The sequence below is a fragment of the Homo sapiens genome, chromosome 18, assembly GCF_000001405.40.
Source record: "Homo sapiens chromosome 18, GRCh38.p14 Primary Assembly".
Taxonomy (NCBI): Eukaryota; Metazoa; Chordata; class Mammalia; order Primates; family Hominidae; genus Homo; species Homo sapiens.
In genome coordinates this window covers 48,660,199-48,678,775 of record NC_000018.10, presented here as the reverse complement: position 1 = coordinate 48,678,775, position 18,577 = coordinate 48,660,199, and the positions used below count along the sequence as shown (strand labels likewise).

Below are 18,577 nucleotides of genomic sequence, written 5' to 3'. Positions count from 1 at the left end.
AAGTACTCGCTGCCCACAGTCCCAGCTCCCTGCCTTCTGCTCCGCATGGAGTGAGCAGGAGGAGGCCCGCGTGGAAACCCCATCTAGACGCAGACAGTGGCCTCTTCCCGAGGAACTTTCCCAGTTGTCACCAACAAAAGTCTTCACCTCCAGAATAATCAGTTCTTTAAAAAAAAAAAAAAAAGACTCACAAATAACAAAAAATAAAAATAGGCTCGCCTCACAGAGCACGCTGCCCCTTCCCAGTGGACCTGCTACCTGGAGGTCTCAGACAGGAAACCACGGATTGGAGAACTTCTGGCCCCATTTATTGTATGGGCGCCTATTTTTGTCCTGAGGGAGGAAGCACTTGGGGGTGGGGAGGTGGCTGGGGAGGGAAAGGGGCTCTCGTTTGTAAGACCCCCTCCTTGATGGCTGCTACAGCGTCTTGGGCCAGCAGGGATGGGGAAGGCCACTACAAACCTGTCTGATTAAAAAAGAAGAAAAAAATATTTCTCTTTCAAAGCTGTCTGTAGAGGCTTTTCTCTTTTTTTCTTTCCATTTTTATTGCCTTCAGCAGTAGAGAGAAAAACAGAGATACCCACTTTCTTGTTCTTGCTTATTAAGGAAATGACATTCACCCCTAACTTGCTGTACGTGACTACCGTCTCCTGGAATTAGAAAATGTTTTTCCAGCACCTCTTCCTCCTCATCGTCCCTCCTTAGAAAGAGGTACCAGAGGAGTCAGGCTGCCTGGATTCCAATCCCCCTTCTCCCAGCTGTGTGATTTGAGGCAAGGTATTTGAGCTCAGTTCTCCAATCTGTGAAATAATAATAGAATAAACATTTCCCAGGGTATTTGTGAGACTTCAGAGATAGTATATGCAGCCCGCAGCTCAGACAGCACTCAAGTCATGGTAGCCTCTGTGGTGGAGGCACAAGTTCTGGACTAAGATGCTGGGTGGGAGTCCCTCTGGGGCAGGAGCAAGTCACTCAACCCATATTTAATGAGCCCCTAGATGTGCCCCAGGGGAACGTACACTCCACTGGGAGAATACAGACGCAAAAGAAATAAAGCAAACATGCGACAGGCGCTGCAGGGAAGAATCGAGTGACGATTCTTGAGTGATGAGGAGGCATATGGAGTGTTCACAAGCCCTTACTGAGAAGGTTACATCCGACCAAAGACATCGGTCTGTAAAGTGAGGTCAATAACAGTACGTGCTCCATGGGACAACGTGAGGGTAAGATTAGAAAAAGCAAGGACCTTCTCAGTTCCTGGAACACGGAAAGCACTCTGTGAATGTTCGCTAGTGTTACTGTTGGTGCATTACGCTCCTTGTTGAATTCTCACTAAGGGGACATTAGGAGAATACCATGTCCCCGTCTATGGGACAGGTACCAGCCCCTGCACTTAAACTCAGTCCATAATGGCTATAAGACAATGCCTGGGACACAGAGAGATGCCTGATCCGTAATGTTGGCCTGGGTGAATAAGGTCAGACCTCACCTCCGTGGGACCACGGGTGACATGGAGCAACAGTCGCCGGTGCACAGGGCCTGGGGAGGCGAGGTGGGGCATGGTTTTCAGGACTCTGCTCCTGGGTGTCTCGGGGCACTTTACTAATCCTCACGCCTGTGAGTTAGCATGTCCTAGAAGTTTCCAGAAGACTTGGCAACAGCTAACACAGCCCTAGGGAACAATAAAGTTACTCCTTCTCATCTGGAGGTCTGGGAACCCGGCTACAGAGGCTTCAACCCCAGTGTGGGGCAGCCCCAGCCGCGGCCCCGGCCTCCCGCCCAGGACCCCCATTACTAAATAGCAGCAGCGCCACCTGCTGGGGCTGCCAGGCCATTCCTTATCGGCCACCATTTTCACTCCTCCAGGAGTGAGGGACACCTGAGTGTCATTTCATGGAGCCATGATTTTCATTTTGAAAGCTCATTTGTCCCTCGGATTCTTTAGAGAGGTAGTGGGGAGGATCTCTCTGTTATCATCCAGGGCCAAGCAGAAGAACGAGGAAGGAACTGTCCCTTCCTTTAGCCATCTCCCGTGTGAAGGCTGGACTTGGACACAGGCTCAGGAGGCCAGAAAGCCACTTTCCGTCCCCTGAGCCTTCTGGGGACCCTCAATGGGGAATGCTTTGGGCACATCCCTAAGGCCAGAAATCCCACTTGACCGGGTGGCGTCCACTGTTGTGTGGGCACTAAGCCCCTTTCACAGCAAAGGGCTCCTGAGTCACACGCTCTGGACAAGGCCAGCAATGTGGGGGCAGGGGAGCCGGCCCTGCTAGGTCTGAGCCATCTAATGATTAACGGCCAACAGACACAGAATTTGGTTTCAAAATTTCCTAAGAGAAAGGCAAAACGAGAAGTCAGTGGGTTATGTAGTTCCTACTGTCAGACCAAAGACAGCAGACATAATGTTTGTCTGGGAGAATTCAAGGATAATGACCAAAATACGTCCTGATAGAAAGCCCTGGGCAGGACACTGGATAATTCAACAAACAACGTCTTTCAATGGGGTATTGTATATGACACAAAAGCACCAGGCCACTGTGTGATATAAGGAGGTGGCATTTCCGCAGGGCGCCGAGGGCCCTGTGCCCGGGAACCTGAGGAAATCTAATGCTCACCTAGGGGCCATCTAGGGCACAGGGACAACATGCCCGTTAGACCGTCTTTCTCACACTGGTCGCGCCGACTTCACACACATGGAGAAATTGCTCCCCAAGTCACACCTCAGAGTAAAGGGGTCCTGGGGGAGGGGGTGCCGGGGGGTGGTCTCAGACCAGAGATGAGGTGAAGGATATGCAATTCGGATTTCATCCCTTGCCTTCACATGGAACTTGGTCAAGTTAACTTGGAACTTAGTCAAGTTAATTCAGAACTTAGTAAATTAACTCGGCTTAGACTATGGATTACAGATTATGCGGCTCCATCTCCCCACTTAGCCAGCCCCCATCCTTCCAAGGGCGGAAGCCAACACTTTGTAACTCCCCCAGCCCCACCCCAGTGGGTGTTCCCCTGCAGCCCCGTGCTGCTGCCCTCCTGGAAGCAGTGTGTTCCCAGGGGTCCCAGGGAGGGGCGGGCCCTCTGGAGGAGTGTCATGCCTTGGCCTAGCAGGGGACATGTGGCCCAACAGGAGCTTCCCTACACCTTAGTGTGGCTGCCTCTTGCACCTCGCCATCCTCCCACTTGCTGCAGGGAGGAAGGGCCTGGGCATTGAGTGGGGTCATTTTCAGGACAGTGTGCATGTGCAGCGCTGACCAGGAGGCATGGCCGGTGAAGACGCCTTTGGCTGCTGGCGCTGGGACCAGGGGACTTCCCACAGCAAGCACCAGGCTGGAGCCTGCAGAGTGGTGCGCTGGTGCCCTCTAGTGGGAGCACACCACCATACAGCCACCGATCCTGGCGAGGCCTCCACTCCAGCAGTCCTCAACACTGGGGCCACACTCAGAGCAGGACTGTTAATGATGGGCCTGGGCTGCCCACAACACTGACAGAGTGGTAGCCTGGCCAACCCCTCCACTCCTGTGATAGAGATGCCAAAAATGCTACCAGGACACCAGCCTTGTGGATGGAATTTGGGGGTCCCCTAGAACTGCAGTCTGAGCCCAAGTGTGTGTCTCAGTGTCTGCCTGCCCTATGGCTTCAACACTGAGAACCATGATTGAACCCTGAATCCATGGCCCTGTACTCAGAGCCTTCTGCTGCCCCCCATCTCCCACCCACTCCACCCCCGCCGACCCCCCACCACCCCATCAGTGTTCTTAGAGAGCAATGTCAGTCTCAACTGGCCTGAGGCTGCCATTGTATGGCATGTCATGCCTCGGTGTGGATGCCATAAAACCTGGCTATTGGCTAGCTCCTATCCCAGCGTACCTGCTCCTTTCCCTCCAGCCACCAGTGTGGGAAGGAAGACCTTGGGGACAGTTAACACCACCAACAGACCCTTTACTTAACTAGCTCACTAAATGCCTTTTCAGAGTGCAGAACTATTCCTGGCAGCAGGGGTTCACAGAGGTATAGGGTGAGCCCTGGACACAGACACCTACTGTCTACCCTGTTGCCCCACATCCTTGTGGGGGCTCCAAGAGCCTGAGTCCAGCAGCTCCAGAGATGAAGTTCCTGAGGTCAGCACTGCAGTGAGACTCACCCCTGGATTCATTGCCAGTTGTGGAAACACAGCCAGATGGAGTCACCAGGAATAGGGGCCTTGGCTTTGGCTGGAGAGGAGCTTGGCCAGACGCCTAGGTGTCAGCATCTGACCCCCAGTGGAGGCATCACCTCCTAAAACCACTCATTGTGGCATGCGCTCTGTGTGTAACCCACTGAGAGATAAGCTAGGGCTCCCAGGAGATCAACAGGCATTCAGTGTGGGGGCCCATGGCGCCCTCTGCTTTGTACTCAGCCACACATTCACGCCCCAGACTGCAGGAGCTGCAGCAGCACAGGGGAGGAAGGTGGGGTGTACTGGGAGAGGACCCAGACTTTGCCCTTCAGGGACTGTGACCTGGGCAAGGCACCAGCACTTGCTCGGGCATTTGCAGCTTTGAATGCATGTGGTAATCTGTGCATGTCTCATTTCCTCTACTAGGCTGTGCCTCTCGTGGGGAACTGTATCTTATGTGATCAATTCTCTCTCTCTAAAAGGCTAGGGCAGAGCACTTGTCCATGAAGATGAGTTAAGTGAGCAAGTGAAGGAAAGAGGAAGATTTGGCAGAGGCACTTGAGGCTTACAGAACAGCCATGTGCTCCCCTTCTTCCCGCTCCCCTGCAGAAGTGTCAGCCCTTGCAGTTGGGGCGGGGGCATGTGACTAGTTCTGTCCAATGGGCTCTGAGTGGAGCTGATATTTCTGGGCCAAAGCATTTAAGACATACAGCAGGGGTGTCCAATCTTTTGGCTTCCCTGGGCCACACCGAAACAACTGTCTTGGGCCACACATAAAATACACTAATGATAGCTGATGAGCTAAAACAAAAAATTGTAAAATACCTCATAATGTTTTAAGAAAGTTTAAAAATTTGTTTTGGGCCATATTCAAAGCCATCCTGGGCCACAGGTTGGCCAAGCTTGACCTAGAACACGACCCTCCAGCTCTCTTTGCCTGTGCCAGGGCCACTTGGATACCATGGATTGAGATGGCAGGGCCACAGAACGCAATCCACCTGGACCCTGGAGTCCCCAAGGAGCTACCCTGGAGACCAGCTGGACCCTCAGCAGAATTTCAGAAAGTTAGAAATAAAATTCTGTGTGTGATTCCACTGAGATGTGGGGTTTGTTTAGTATTATGCCATGGCCTATAGTGTCCTAATACAGGAGACGATGGAAAAATCCTGTTTTCTTTAACAACAACAACAACAAATGTGTCTCAGAAATCACACCGAGAAGAGCATAACCAGGTTCATGCTGAATTTCTGCTGGGAAGTGGTGGGAGAAACTCAGAGACAGAGGGACGACTGAGTGTCAAGACAGACACAAATCCTGCCTTTCTTGTACACTCTAGACAACACAACAGCACATCTAGAAAGGAGGTTCTTCAGCAGCACTCACTCTAGAGCACCTGGTGCTGGGGTTATGAGGCTGAAGGAAATGGCCCAGCCCTCAGGCAGCCCAGAGTCCAGGAAGGGAGTCTGGCAGTTATGTAAGCAGGTGCGACGTGGTGGGAGCCATGCCACAGAGATGGGGGCAGGGGCTCTGGGGAAATGGCAGGTGGATGCTGGACTCCATCCTGTGCATCTGAGAGGGATCAGGGGAGGTATCCTGAGCCAGAAAAAGGACAGGCAGAGAAGGGCTGAGTGAGATTTTAGGCAGAGGGAACCGCCTGCTGGTGAGAAAGCAAGGAGAGATGGAAGATCAGAACAGATCAGGGGAGGGACTGACAGGGCCACAGGATGGCAGGGGGAGCCCAGGACAGAGGCTGGGCAAGGGTGCTGAGAACATCACAAAGCCTCCTGCCTGCTAAGGAGTCCGAACAGGGACAGAAGGGGCCGGAGATGGGGGTCTGGGCCTCTGTGGGTTGAGAACATGCTGGGGACACAGCTGGTAGGATCTTTATGCCCCTCTTCTTCTGGGGTGCAGAAGTGGAGGGCAGGTAGGCAATGGGCTTGAGGCCAACCTCCCTTTGTCACCCTCTTTCCTTCTTGCCTCCAGGTAGGGAGGGGAGGCCAGCCCTGATTTTTGTCTAAGAAAGTCTCTAGGAAGCCCGCTTATCTATGTACAGGCTCAAGACTCCCATAGGAGGGCTGGAGGTCCTCAGGCTAGAGGTGGGCTTTCCCTCCCATTTGGGGGCCTTCAGCTGGATGCACAATATCTCCTAGGTGAATCTGGAAGTAGGAGGATGTTTTTGGTGGTCACTATGCCTGCCCCTCTCCAGTGACGGCCATTCAGTGGCAGAGGCCAGGAGTCCTAAATATCCCACATTGCATTGGACACGTCCATACTATTAAGAGTTGTCCCCACCACATATGCTAATAGCTAGGCCAGCTGACCCTCAGGACCCAAGGCCAGACGAGTGAACCAGCCAGCCCTATTTATGAGGGGCTTTGAAGAACACTAGGAAAACTCAGATAAGTCATCCCATTGTGCTCTCACAGGACCGCAAATTCCTCAAACACCAAAAGTCTGTGTTTGGGGATCAAGAAGCCTGTCTACCTTGTCCTAAGGGTACCCATGTGAATTGTAGATACTCCAAGGAGCAGTCAAGCCAGGAGCATTATCAGCCAGGACTTTAAGTTTTCAACTCTTGCTGATAATCAGAATTTCCTACAATGCTTTAAAAATGCAGATTCTAGCTGGACACAGTGGCTTATTAAAAAAGCCCACAATGACCTTCGAGAGATAAAAACTACAATGTCTGAAATGAAAAATATACTGAATGGGATTAACAGTAGATTTGACACTGGAATAAAATATTAGTGAACTTGAAGAAATAGCAATAAAAGCTATCCAAAATGAAACACAGAGAGTAAAGAAAGACTTTAAAAAATCAGGCAGAGCTTTGGTGAGCCATGGGAAAAGATGAAGAAGCATAGAATACATACAATTGGAACCCCAGGGTTGAGGGAAAGTAGGAGGAATCGTGGCTGAAAATTTTCCAAATTTGATGAAACTATAAACCTACAGATCCAAGAAACTCAATAAATCCCAAGTGGGAGAAACATGAAGAAAACCACCACACCAAGGCACATCATAATCAAATAGATGAGGTCTTAACTGTATGCTCTATTGTCTCTCATTGATAGGCCCAAGGCATGAACAGAGAAGAAACAAAATGGCAAAGGCACCAGGAAGAGATGAATGGATATAGATAAAATAGCAGGAGAAGAATCAGGAGAGAAGGGAAGGGTGGCACAGTGGAGTGTGGTGGTAGGTCATGGTCACTGGCAGCGGCAGACTCAGTCACTGTGGAAGGTCCACTGCTTTTACACCCCTGCAGCAGGCCCAGTCACACTCCTGAGAGCAGCTAGACTCCTGCTGTTTCCACCAAAAGTCCAGCACTATAAGTATCTAGAGACCTGGATTCACTGAGTGAATCCTCTTTGTCCTGGAACCTGGCCTGATTCCAGGAAAGAGGCCCAATCAATAAAAAAAAGAGCAAGCATAGCAGACACCTGGAGGCCAGCAGGGCAAGTCCACTGTTCAAAAGCCTAAAGACAGCCCCAGCCACATTAGAATCTCTTCCAGGCCTGCCAGTCCCACCTGAACACACCACAGGACACTTCACCTGCAGAGAGGTTTCAGGCCAAGGGACAAAAACTTCCAAGTTCACTGAGTTGCCAGGGCATGGTCTATTTCATCTCTAGGGCACATCAGGCCTGCCAGCAGGGCCTGCAGCATCACCGAGTAGGCTGTCACACACACGATCACAATGGGACACCCTGGAGAATGGCAGGTAGCCAGCCCTGCCTATTACTACCATACAGGCGGTTACACTCCTTGCTGGAACAAGCAGCCAGAAGGAGTGCTTTGGTTAGGTCCTGTCCAGGAAGAGGATCAGGACTCCAGGGGTGGGGGTGGGCTGTTAGAGAGCCTGCCCCTGCACCTACCTGCCAGGCTGGAAGGACCTTCTCGATGTCATTCAGGTTGATGCCATCCCCATCTTCCAGCTTCCCTTTGCCACACCTGGACCAGAAAAGACAGAAAGGCATTGGAAAGATGGCTCATTCATGCCTCCTGTCCCATCCGGCCAGCAGGAGAGGAGGGACAGTCAGCAGATACCTGGTGCTGCCCACCCTCAAGCCCTGCAGGGGCTGTCCCACCTAGAGGAAACAGCCCTAGAGAAGCTGTGTGTGTGTGGGGGGGGGGTCCTCCCGTAATGCAACAGCCAACCTGGAGGGAGGTGGGAGAGGAACCAGAGTTCCCCTTGCTCCTTCCAGGCAGAGAAGCTAAGCTCCTTACTCATCACAACTCCTGTCAAAGCCCATCCACCTTGCCCCATTACACTGAACAGAAGATCAGTGGACAGAGACACCAAGCAACTTTCTCAAGGTCACATAGGCTGGCAGGGGCTAGCAGAAAACCCAATAGGGCTTCCTTCCTTTTTGGCTTGACTCTGGGTCAGTCCAGCAAGCCCACTCAGATAGTCTATGCTTTGTCTTCATGTCCTCTGTGAGTGGGCGTGCCCTCGGGCCAGAGAGGCTGGCCCCAACTCCCTGGCCAGAGGTCTGAATCTTTGGCATATTTAAGGGTGCAGATTCCGAAACCAGACTCCCAGGGTTTGAATCCCCGCTGCATCCCTTACCAACTGGGGACCCTGTACAAGTTGTTTAACCTCTCTGTACTCATTTCATCAAATGAGTTTCCTCATTTGTTAAATGAGGATAATAGTGTCTAACATCTTAAGGTGGCTGGAGGATTAAATTAATGAATGTATCTGGAGTGCTTAGATGCTTAGAACTGTGACAGCCCACAGTAAACGGTACATATATACACACATATATAGTCTAGCTTATATATATATATATATATATATATATATATATATATATATATATATAAATGTTTAGCTTGTTTGTTTATAAATGTGTGTGTGTATATTTCTTGTGTATGTATTATTATCTGTATTTACCATTAAATATATCTTAAACATACACACATATGTTTAATGGTAAATACTGGTAATAATAACAAAATTAAAATAAATAATGAAGTAAATATATTGCTACTACTATGACTACTTTCATTACCACTAATATTGTTGCTGTTGTTTAGGCAAAGAGGCAGGAGGGTGATTAATTAAGGACACAGATTCTGGAGCCAACCCAGCCTCATGCAAATTACTCAATTTCTGGGTCTCCTAGTTGCTTCATCTATTGAAGAGAAGATGGTAACAGTTCCTCCCTCTCTGGGTGGTGGCGAGTTTTAAATAAATGAGGCAAACACTTAGAACAGAGGCTGGAGCATGGCCGGTGCATAGTAAGTATTGTCAGTTACTATTATTACTGGTATTGACTGAGGAATGGTGAGAGATGTCCCATGAGTTGGGTCATTTTCCAGCTGCAGAGTTCATACGAATCTCACCTTTCAGAGTAACTAGTTCATTGTTTAAACATTTACCAAGCATCTCTTCTGTTTTGGGCCTTGTGAACCAAAAAAAAAATCAGTTTTGGTTCCTGCCCTCAGACAGTGGATGGCCCTTAGAACAAATCCTAAACTCCTCTAACAGGGCTGGGTGCCGGAGCACCACTGGGGGCAGCACGAGATCGGTGTCATAAAAGTCCTATGGCCAGAGGCGCCCTGGAACCCAGAGGAGGAGAAACTAGCTGCAAACACCAGCAAAGGCCTGGGTGGAAGAGAACAGGGGGCTAACCCAAGCCCCATTTGATGGCTCATTTCTCCATTCACCAAACACTTCTGTGCCCGGCTCTGGACAGGGTCTGGGACCCAGGTGTAAACAGTGCACACAACTGCCCCTCTCGGTGTCTGGCGGGATAATCACCCCCCACAGTAGAGCAGCAAGTGCCCCGCTGGGGACAAGGGATCGTTGCAGGAACCCCAAGGAGCAGCGTCTAGAACTGTCTTGGGCGAGGGGCAGGAGGAAGGTGAGAGGTGAGCTGGCCAAGCACAGGGAATTTGGGAGGATGTCCCAGGCTGACACGGCGCAGGCAAAGGCCTAGAGTTAGGAGCATGTGTGGTGCCAGTTTGCTGTGGCTAGAGCATGTTAGGGGTCAGGGTGCAAGGGGTAGGCAAGGGGCATGGTGGAGCTGGGGTGGGGAATGGTGTGCAAGGTATAACAGGCATGAAGGAAAAGAAAAAGTTTCCCCCGGCCCCCGGCTGTCCCCACAACTGTGATGTGCTGGGGCTACAGGTGAGCAGGTGGAGAAAGGCCCGGAACATCCAAACATCTCTTAACTCATCAATCTGCCTGGTGCAGACAGGCTGGCCTGTGAAAGCACCAACTGCGTGTAGTCTTCTGTGTTCTGCACCCGCCTGGGCCATAGGGGAGGAGGGCACTGGGGACTTGGCTTGACTAGAATGGCTGATACCACCTCCCCAGTGTCTCCTGTGGGTAAAACACACCTCAGGACTCTCTCGCATGCACTGAGCTCCAAGCACACGCTGGGCACCAGCCTAGCACACTCCAAACACAGCTTTCTGTTCTCGCCTCAGCGCCCCTGGGGGTGGGCAGGTGGAGGCCTGCAGGGAGGGCTGCTGTCCCACGAGGCCTGCCCTCGTCAGGGCTCAGATCTCCCCAGAGGCCTGCAGGTTTGGAGGGCTGAAGGTGGCTACAGACCAGCTGAGTCACTGCTGCCAACAGGGTTTCCAAGGCAACAGCCTTCTCTGATTTCTGTCCCTCCATGGAAACACAGGCTGCAGGGAGCCTTGGCAACTGAGTGGTACCTGCATCCCAGGAAGGCTGCAGTGGCTGGCGCATGGAGTGTGTCCCCACTACAGCAGGACTCTAAGGGGGTCACAGTTCCTGGTCTGGCCATGAGGTGGCCACAGACACTGCACTCAGACTCCCTGGGAACCTGGGAGTGACAGGCTTTGGCTAGTGAGCCAGATATCCATGGGAGACCCCAGGTGACTCTCAGCAAATCTGGAGGCTCCTGGTGAGAAAGTGAGACTGGCCGAGGAATTTAGGCCCACAGCTGGTGACACAGGTGTGGCTGGTTACTCTGGCTTCAGAAGGGACAAAGTCCCTCGGCATAAGGGGAATTCCTCTCCTTCATAGTTATTCATCGCTTTTTTGCTAGGAAGTTAGTTCATCTCTGGGGACTGGTGAGACACTTTGGCAAGCTTGCCTTCAACATGCAGGCCCCATTGGGCACCTGTAGTCAATAAGGCAGCACCATCGCTTCGATCTCCCCAGGCCTCAGTGTCCCCACTGACGTCACCAGCTATGTGCTCCCGGGGCACACAGGAGAGACTGGAGCTGCCCAGGGAAGTCTCCCTCCTGAAGCCTTTCCCAGATGGTTCAACCTGTAAAGTGCTCTCCTTTCTAACCCCTTTTGCATTGACTTTATTTAACCCTGCACCAGGCATCACACTTTATACCTGTCTATATATGTCTTTATGGTGTCTATATGTCTACACTGCATAGTCTAGTCTGTATGTCTACACCGCATAGTCTAGTCTTTCTTCCCCTACACAGTCTCCATCATGAATAGGTTCATATTTCCTTTTCCCAGTAGAATAAACAGTCCTTCTGGGCAGGGACTGTATTGTATACTCGTGTGTGTGTGTGTGTGTGTGTGTGTGTGTGTGTCTACTTTCCTGGTACCCAGCACCATGCAGGGACCCAGCAGGTCTAGTGACAGACTGGCTACACTGAACTTGAGAAAAGCAAAATCCTGCTCCTATTCCTGTGGCATACCCAAGCTCCGCTACACTGTTGCAACAGGACACTGGGCAAGCATCACCTTTGCTCACAACCCCTTCCTGAAGCTGACCCACTGAGAAAGGTAGGTAAGGCCATCCTTCCTAAGCACAGAAGTGTGGAGGCCCAGCCCTGTGCAGCTCAGCAGTCTGGAAGGAGCATGGCCTCCCTGCAACTGAATGAGTGGGCTGAGCAGGCAGTGAGCAGGGTGGATGGGGTAAGGTAGGGTCGGGAGCCTTGCAGCTGTGTCTCTCCTATGCTCCATCTTAACCAGTGCCTCCATGCGCAAAGCCATCTCTCCCTCTTCACCCAAAGAGAAATGGAACCCACAACAGGGAGGGCAATGAAAAAGAGGCGTGTGAGAGGCTGGTGTCTCCTGGGAGAGTCGGATGCAAGTGATGGGCCTCTCCCCAGCAACACACACGTGTGCATGCACACATACAAATTTGCAGAAAATTTTAAGGAGGTTAAGAATACCCTGATGTGGTGAACTAGGGGTTGGATGGTGTCAGAAGGCCTGGCCTTAAATGATGGCTCTGTTATTCAGGCAAGTTACTTTGCTTCTCTGAGTGTTATTTTCCTCATCTCTAAAGTAGGAATGAGCCCATTTCTTTCCACGGGTTGTTGCTCATTACACTATGATGGGACCAATGTTGCCAAGAGGAGAGGTTGAGTGGGACAAATATAGCAGCAGGAAGACATGTGAGATGTAGGATAGTGTCCAGTAAAGTCACTAATACTTAGACCTGAAGTGAAAGGGAGACAAGAGTGAGCAGGGGAGGGCTGGAAGGAAAAGTAAGGGTCATCAGTATCATAATAAAACACAAACAAACAAAAACCAAGAAAGAAAAAAAAACACAAGTGCTGGTGGGGATGTGGAGAAATTGGAATCTCATACATTGCTGGTATGAATGCAGAATATTCAGCTGCTATGGAACACAGTTTGACAGCTCCTCAAAGAGTTCAACAGAATTACCATACAACCCAGCAATTCCACCCCAGGTATACACCCAAGTAATTACAAGCAAGGACTCAAAAAGATACAGCAGTATTTTTGACAATAGCCAAAAGGTGGAGATGACTCAAGTAAGGATTGATAGATGCATGGGTAAACAAATTGTGGTATATCCATACAATGGACTAGTATTCAGCCATGAAAAGGAATAAAGTTCTGCTACATGCTATAATGAATGAACCTCAAAAACATTATGCCAAGGGAAAGAAGCCAGGCCCAAGAGGTCACATATGACTGTTTCTGTAAGTATGCAAAATAGATTAATTAATAGAAACAGAAAGCAGATTGGTGGTTGCCAGGGACTGGGGGTGGTGATGGGATGGGGAATGATTGCCTAGTGGGTATGGGGTTTTATATTGGGATGATGAGAATGTTTCAGAACTAGATAGACATGGTAGTTGCACAACAGGTCTAGCATACTAAATGCCAGTGGACTGAACACTTTATAATGGTTAATTTTATGGTATGGGAATTCTGCCTCATTAAAAATTATATAAAACTATAAAAGAAGGAGCAGCCATTTGTCCCACACCTCTGTGTCTCGCTGGAGTCACATTCCCGTCCTGAGGTCTGCCCAGGCTGTGACACCACTTTTGAAAAGGGAAGGCAACCCTGCCACACAAAGTCATAGAGGGTGAGAAAAGCCAGTGTAAAATCAGGCATGACACCAGCTGCTCCCCAAGTGTGGTCCCTGGACCAGCATCAGCACCCGCTGGGGAACTTGTTAGAAACACACAGCCTCAGGCCGGGCGCGGTGGCTCATGCCTGTAATCCCAGCACTTTGGGAGGCCGAGGCGGGTGGATCATGAGGTCAGGAGATCGAGACCATCCTGGCTAACAAGGTGAAACCCCGTCTCTACTAAAAATACAAAAAATTAGCCGGGCGCGGTGGCGGGCGCCTGTAGTCCCAGCTACTCGGGAGGCTGAGGCAGGAGAATGGCGTGAACCCGGGAAGCGGAGCTTGCAGTGAGCCGAGATTGCGCCACTGCAGTCCGCAGTCCGGCCTGGGCGACAGAGCGAGACTCCGTCTCAAAAAAAAAAAAAAAAGAAAGAAACACACAGCCTCAGTCCACACCTACGGAATCACAGACTCTGGGGTGGGCCTGTCCTCTGTGCCACCGCCCAGGTGATTCTGCTGCGCTGGCGTGGATTACTGACAAGCAGGGCCACTGTGGGTCATCAGGAGCAGGTGGGGATGGCATGGCTAGAGGGGGCTGGGCAGAGGGAAATGGAGGGATTCCAGGAGAAGCCAGTGAGCCTGCAGCTCTGGGACGCATAAGAAGAGCATCCCGGGGCATCAGCCACCTGAGTCCCCTGTGCAGCAGAGCAGCCTCCCTGTGGAGGCAAAGGCCACTCCCGTCCCCTGCCCCACCCCACCCTGGGTAAGAGCCCCAGCACCCCTTACCCTTCGCGGTCGATGTGTGGCAGGGGCTGCTTGGGCGTGTGTCGGACTTTGCGGTGGAACTGGGTGAAGTCCAGCTTTTCCGGCTGCAGGTCCCAGGTGGCACCACTAGAGGGCGAGGGAGGGTGAGAAACGGAGGCAAGAGGGCAACAGCCCAGTTACTGACGGAACCAGGGGGCCAGGCTGAACCTGGCAGAGCAGATCCGCAGAAAGGAGCCGCCAGGGGCCAGGCGGGGAGCCCCACTCAGAATGGAGCCCCAGGTGCCACCCCTCACCTTCCTCACCCTGCCGTGGGAAAGTGCATGCTTATGAAACAAGTGTGGGCCTGATGCCCATTGCACAGCGGCCTCTGCAACACCTGAGTTTGTTTTCGTGCCCACATTTGAGGAAGGCCAGGGAGAGCAAGGGGCCAAATGCCAGTCTCCAGCCTCTGACAAGCAGCTCAAAGTGACGACCCGGCCACCCTGAGGTAGATGAGGCAGGCTAGTGGGAAGCGGGGCCCAGCCTCTGCAGCCCCATCCCGGGGGCCCTCCCCATGCCTCCACTGTCTCCCGTTGACACTCACCGCCTCCTCTCTCCGGCCTTCTTTCCACCCCATCCTTCCTACATCCCCTACTCTGCTTCTCTCTGCCTCTTGCTCATGAACCATCAGCGTTCATTCCGTCCCCAAGGAAGCCAGTTTCCCCGGCTGGACCTCACACCACAGGGAAGGAGGGAGGAGGAGGTTACCTGAAGGAATCGAAGGTGTTGGCCGCCCAGATGTCCGTGCCCAGCATGTCCAGAGAGTTGTCTTTGCTGCCATTCTGGAAGAGATGGGGGTGAAAGGGCTGACATTAATTGCTCGGCCAGGATGCTGAGAACACGGGGCCAGGGCCTGAGGGGCTGGGGGGCTGGAGTGAGCCCCCAAGTGAGTATGGTGGCTGGTGCACCCAGTCAGAGTCAGGGGACTGCCTGGGGGTCTCCTGGCCTCCCCCCAGGCATAGGCCCTCGTTTCACTGAGGTTTTATAGATGTATACAGAAGGGTCCAGGCCCCTGCTGCCCCAGGCCCATGGCTCTCTCCTCAAAGCCTCCACACCCAGCAAGGGCTCTGTACCACCCAGAGCCACCATCACCACTGCCAGCCTGATGGCTGAGGCTTCTCCCCAGGGAGGGGCTCTGCAGAGCCAGGCCCACTGGGGAGCCCATGGAGGCTGCCTTCCTTCACAGTTCAGTCCTACTCCCCAGAAGCCCCCACCGACCAAGGCTACACCAGCAACTGGATTTCTCTGAGTCGAGCCGATCCTCCAGTGTTCCCTATGTGACCCACCCCAGAGACAGAAACCTCTTTACTCAATGCAGCTTCTATGATTTGGTTTCTCTGCTCTCTGGCTGGTGAGCTCCCTGGCAAATTCTCCAACCCCTGACCGCACCTGATGCCCTCCAGCCCTTCTTACCCCTGCAATCTGGTTTCCATCGTCACACTCTTTAAAACAATACTTCCACATCCACCTGAGCTGAACGTGTGCACGCCGTATGACCCAGAAATTCACTCCCAGGTATAAACACACAGAAATGTGCCCGATGCTCACCAAAAGACATGTACAGAAAGCGTATACAGCAGCATCCGCCATTACAGCTCCAAACTGGAGACCACCCACATGCCTGTCATCAGCTGATTCGATAAATAAACCGTGGTATGTTCACATATTGGAGTATCACACCGCAGTGAGCACAAACAAAGTAAAATAACATGCAGCAATATGAATAAATATCACAAGCATACAGGGAACAAAAGAACCCAGATGCAAAAGAGAACCAATTATGTTCAGGAACAGGCAAACTAACGAATGTATAGTGAAAGAACTCAGATAGTAACTGGAAGAGGAAACCAATCTCTCTTCCAGAGAGAGACAGAGAGAGCGAGCAGCTTTGATTAACTAGAAGGAGAGGGCACAAAAACCGGGAAGGCTGGACAGTCCAGCCTCCAAGCAGAAGGGGCCAGGCACTCCAGCCGCCACAGACAGGAGGCAGGAGGTAATGAGAGCCTGGAGGAGAGGTGGAGGGCTTATGGAGTCGAAGGGACAAGAGGACTGTCTGGGGAGAACCACCTGGGCTGTCTGACTCTGGGCAAGTCCCTCAGCCTTCCTGGGTCTCATTGATAACATGAACACTGGTCCCTCTCTCTGGGCACCAACAGCCTGCAGGTCTAAGTAACTTGAAACTTCCTCATTCCAGGCTGCCCTGAGAGCTTGCACAATCCTTTCTAGCAGATCAGCCACATTTATTCAGGGCCGCCATGGCCCTGGGTGCTTCTCCCCATGCCTTTCCTGTCCCATCCCCGTAATCCCCTTTGCTCCTGACCATGGCCTGTCAACTGGGCCTTGCTCCCCTCTTGCCCTCTCCGAATGTGCCCCATCTGTCAAAGATTGGCTCAGCCAGGAAGCACCTCTGGCCTCCCAAACTGCAGTCACCTCGCTCTGCCCTGAACTTGCTATCTGTGTGGGTGACTTACAGTAGCAGAGCCGGCCTCTTGCAGTTCTCACTTCTATTTCCTGTAGTGACCTCTCTCCCACAGGAGATAGCGGGCCCTTGATGGCAGGGACCCCCTGGGTCCCCCAGAGCTGGAAGCTCAGTGCTCCTGACATATACTGCAAGAGATTTTCACCATCTTCTTTAAACATGCGTTTTCTTTTTGCGTCAATAAACTGTGTGACCTCGGCAAAGTCACTTCACCAGTCTGGACTTCAGATTCTTCATATTTAAATAAAGAGATCCCAGAATGAAATACCATGCCCTGTAGATGGGCTCCTTCTGACTGGCATGCGTGCTGCTACCATCCCCTCTCCTGCCAGCGGCAGATATCACTAATCAATTACAGCATGGTTGCCAGTCCTCCAAGCAGGTGGCCCCTAATGTTCTAGGATCGTCCTCTCTCCCTTTTCTTCGAGTTGCCTCACATCCTCCCCATTCCAACTCCTGGGGCCCTGCTTGCTCCAAGTGCAACTCTGAAACTCCAGGTCAGCTAGAGAGACTCACCTTCTATCACACAACCCCCAAGGGGACAGCCCCTGCCTCCCGAGATGTTGACCGGCTTGTTCACACCCCCCTCCTGGGCCTCGAATGTAATTATCATTGGGGATAGCAGCCAAAAATAACATAGAAAGCAAAGATAAAAAAAAATCATACATGCAAACAAAACTCTTGCTTCCAAAGCATCTATTGCAGACCTCACTCAGCATGCAGTTCATTTTCCTCCTTCAGCCCAGTGACCTGAAGCCTCTCCTCCACACGTGTCTTCCCTAATCCCTGATCTGTTAAATACCCAATGTTCTCTGGCGCCTATAAATTCAGCTTCAGTGGATCACCTCTTGGTCACTGCTCTCTTACATGAATGTTAGACCTTCCCCAAGTAGACTGTAATCTTTTCCACTGGACTGCCTCTTTCTCTTTGTGCCCCCACAGTGGCCAAGCCAGGCACACAGGAGGGCCAGCTTGGATTCCTGCCAACTGATTGAGGAGATGCCACTTTGTAACAGGAGGAAGCACGACCCTACTGCCTCTGTGGCTGAAAGACTGAATCAAGATTAGGATGTCAAGAATGATTTACCGTCCTAGGATCCGAGGCCCGTAAGGCCCTTAGAGAGTAAGAAACATGGATGGAGAGATAGAAAGAGAGAGCAACTATGTAGAGAAGGTCATGGCCAAACCTAGAAGTGCAAAGCATCTTCCAGGAAGATGGTGATTCACCTTGAAGGCAGTTGAAGGGCAGTGCAGATGGGCACATAAATCTCCCTCCTGGCCTGCAGGTTGGCATCTTGGCTACTACTCCTCAACTGGCAGGGAGCGAGGACAGGTCACAGTAACAGTCACTGGCAGCAGCTGTGAGGGGGCCAATGCCCCTGTGCAGAGAGCTGGTGGAACCTCTCTGCCTGGAGGAGGGGGCACTACCCTTGGGCTAAGGGAGGTGACTGGGCAGGGCAAACTTGGGCATTTCCAAAGCAGTATCCCTGGCGGGGGACCCACCAATCTCTGGACTTCCAGATTCTTGGGGTCAGGGAAATGTGCTCCCAGCTGATGGGAGGGAAAGAGCCAGGGCAGAAGCTGTGCCTGCATGTATGTGTTTATTCTTTACAGAGGAAGCCCACCCTTCCGTGCATCTGCAGAACAGCCCTGTGATCAGCTGCTGCCATCTCCATGTTGGGGGTGAAAAACAGAAGCCTGGGGAGAGGGACCATGGCCCAGCTGGGGAGCAGGTGGTGGAGTCACGGTGGCAACCAGTGCTCCTCCAAGAGCCATGGCAGTCACGCAACCAACACACGTCACAGGTGACAGACTCTCACATTTTCCTCATTGAATCCCCACAGCTCCTTACAACA

At 51.9% G+C, this 18,577-nt stretch overlaps 1 protein-coding gene, 1 long non-coding RNA gene and 1 other non-coding gene across 28 annotated transcripts in view, besides 4 other annotated features; 1 reads left to right on the top strand and 2 right to left on the bottom strand.

The window, feature by feature from the left end:
- Nucleotides 1-5,251, top strand: part of LOC105372107 (uncharacterized) — a 30,901-nt gene extending 25,650 nt beyond the window's left edge. For all 3 annotated transcript variants that reach the window (XR_007066460.1, XR_001753440.2, XR_007066461.1), the window contains one exon: nt 5,100-5,251. This is a non-coding gene — a long non-coding RNA (uncharacterized LOC105372107). The remainder of the gene's footprint in view (nt 1-5,099) is intronic.
- Nucleotides 1-18,577, bottom strand: part of CTIF (cap binding complex dependent translation initiation factor) — a 324,187-nt gene that overhangs the window by 184,442 nt on the left and 121,168 nt on the right. For 23 of the 24 annotated variants that reach the window (XM_047437960.1, XM_047437965.1, XM_017026100.2 and 20 more), the window contains 3 exons: nt 14,951-15,024; nt 14,225-14,329; nt 8,032-8,107 (listed from right to left, as the gene is read on the bottom strand). In XM_047437960.1, the coding sequence (XP_047293916.1) occupies nt 8,032-8,107; nt 14,225-14,329; nt 14,951-15,024 (255 nt within the window). Of the gene's footprint in view, nt 1-8,031; nt 8,108-14,224; nt 14,330-14,950; nt 15,025-15,655; nt 15,847-18,577 lie in introns of those variants that run through there. The other variant, XM_011526278.4, reaches the window with a different exon arrangement.
- Nucleotides 1,568-1,627: an enhancer, noted in NCBI's record as "active region_13291". NCBI's record gives its function as "activates an Ori minimal core promoter by ATAC-STARR-seq in GM12878 lymphoblastoid cells {active_cell/tissue: GM12878}" and the evidence as "EXISTENCE:reporter gene assay evidence [ECO:0000049][PMID:35858748]".
- Nucleotides 1,648-1,717: an enhancer, noted in NCBI's record as "active region_13290". NCBI's record gives its function as "activates an Ori minimal core promoter by ATAC-STARR-seq in GM12878 lymphoblastoid cells {active_cell/tissue: GM12878}" and the evidence as "EXISTENCE:reporter gene assay evidence [ECO:0000049][PMID:35858748]".
- Nucleotides 2,354-2,978: an enhancer, noted in NCBI's record as "H3K4me1 hESC enhancer chr18:46202169-46202793 (GRCh37/hg19 assembly coordinates)". NCBI's record gives its function as "activates a minimal SCP1, AML or CMV promoter by ChIP-STARR-seq in primed H9 embryonic stem cells {active_cell/tissue: H9 hESC(primed)}" and the evidence as "EXISTENCE:reporter gene assay evidence [ECO:0000049][PMID:30033119]".
- Nucleotides 3,452-3,631: an enhancer, noted in NCBI's record as "active region_13289". NCBI's record gives its function as "activates an Ori minimal core promoter by ATAC-STARR-seq in GM12878 lymphoblastoid cells {active_cell/tissue: GM12878}" and the evidence as "EXISTENCE:reporter gene assay evidence [ECO:0000049][PMID:35858748]".
- On the bottom strand, nt 8,108-8,176 carry MIR4743 (microRNA 4743). Its single transcript, NR_039897.2, has one exon. It is a non-coding gene; the product is annotated as a microRNA 4743 (primary transcript).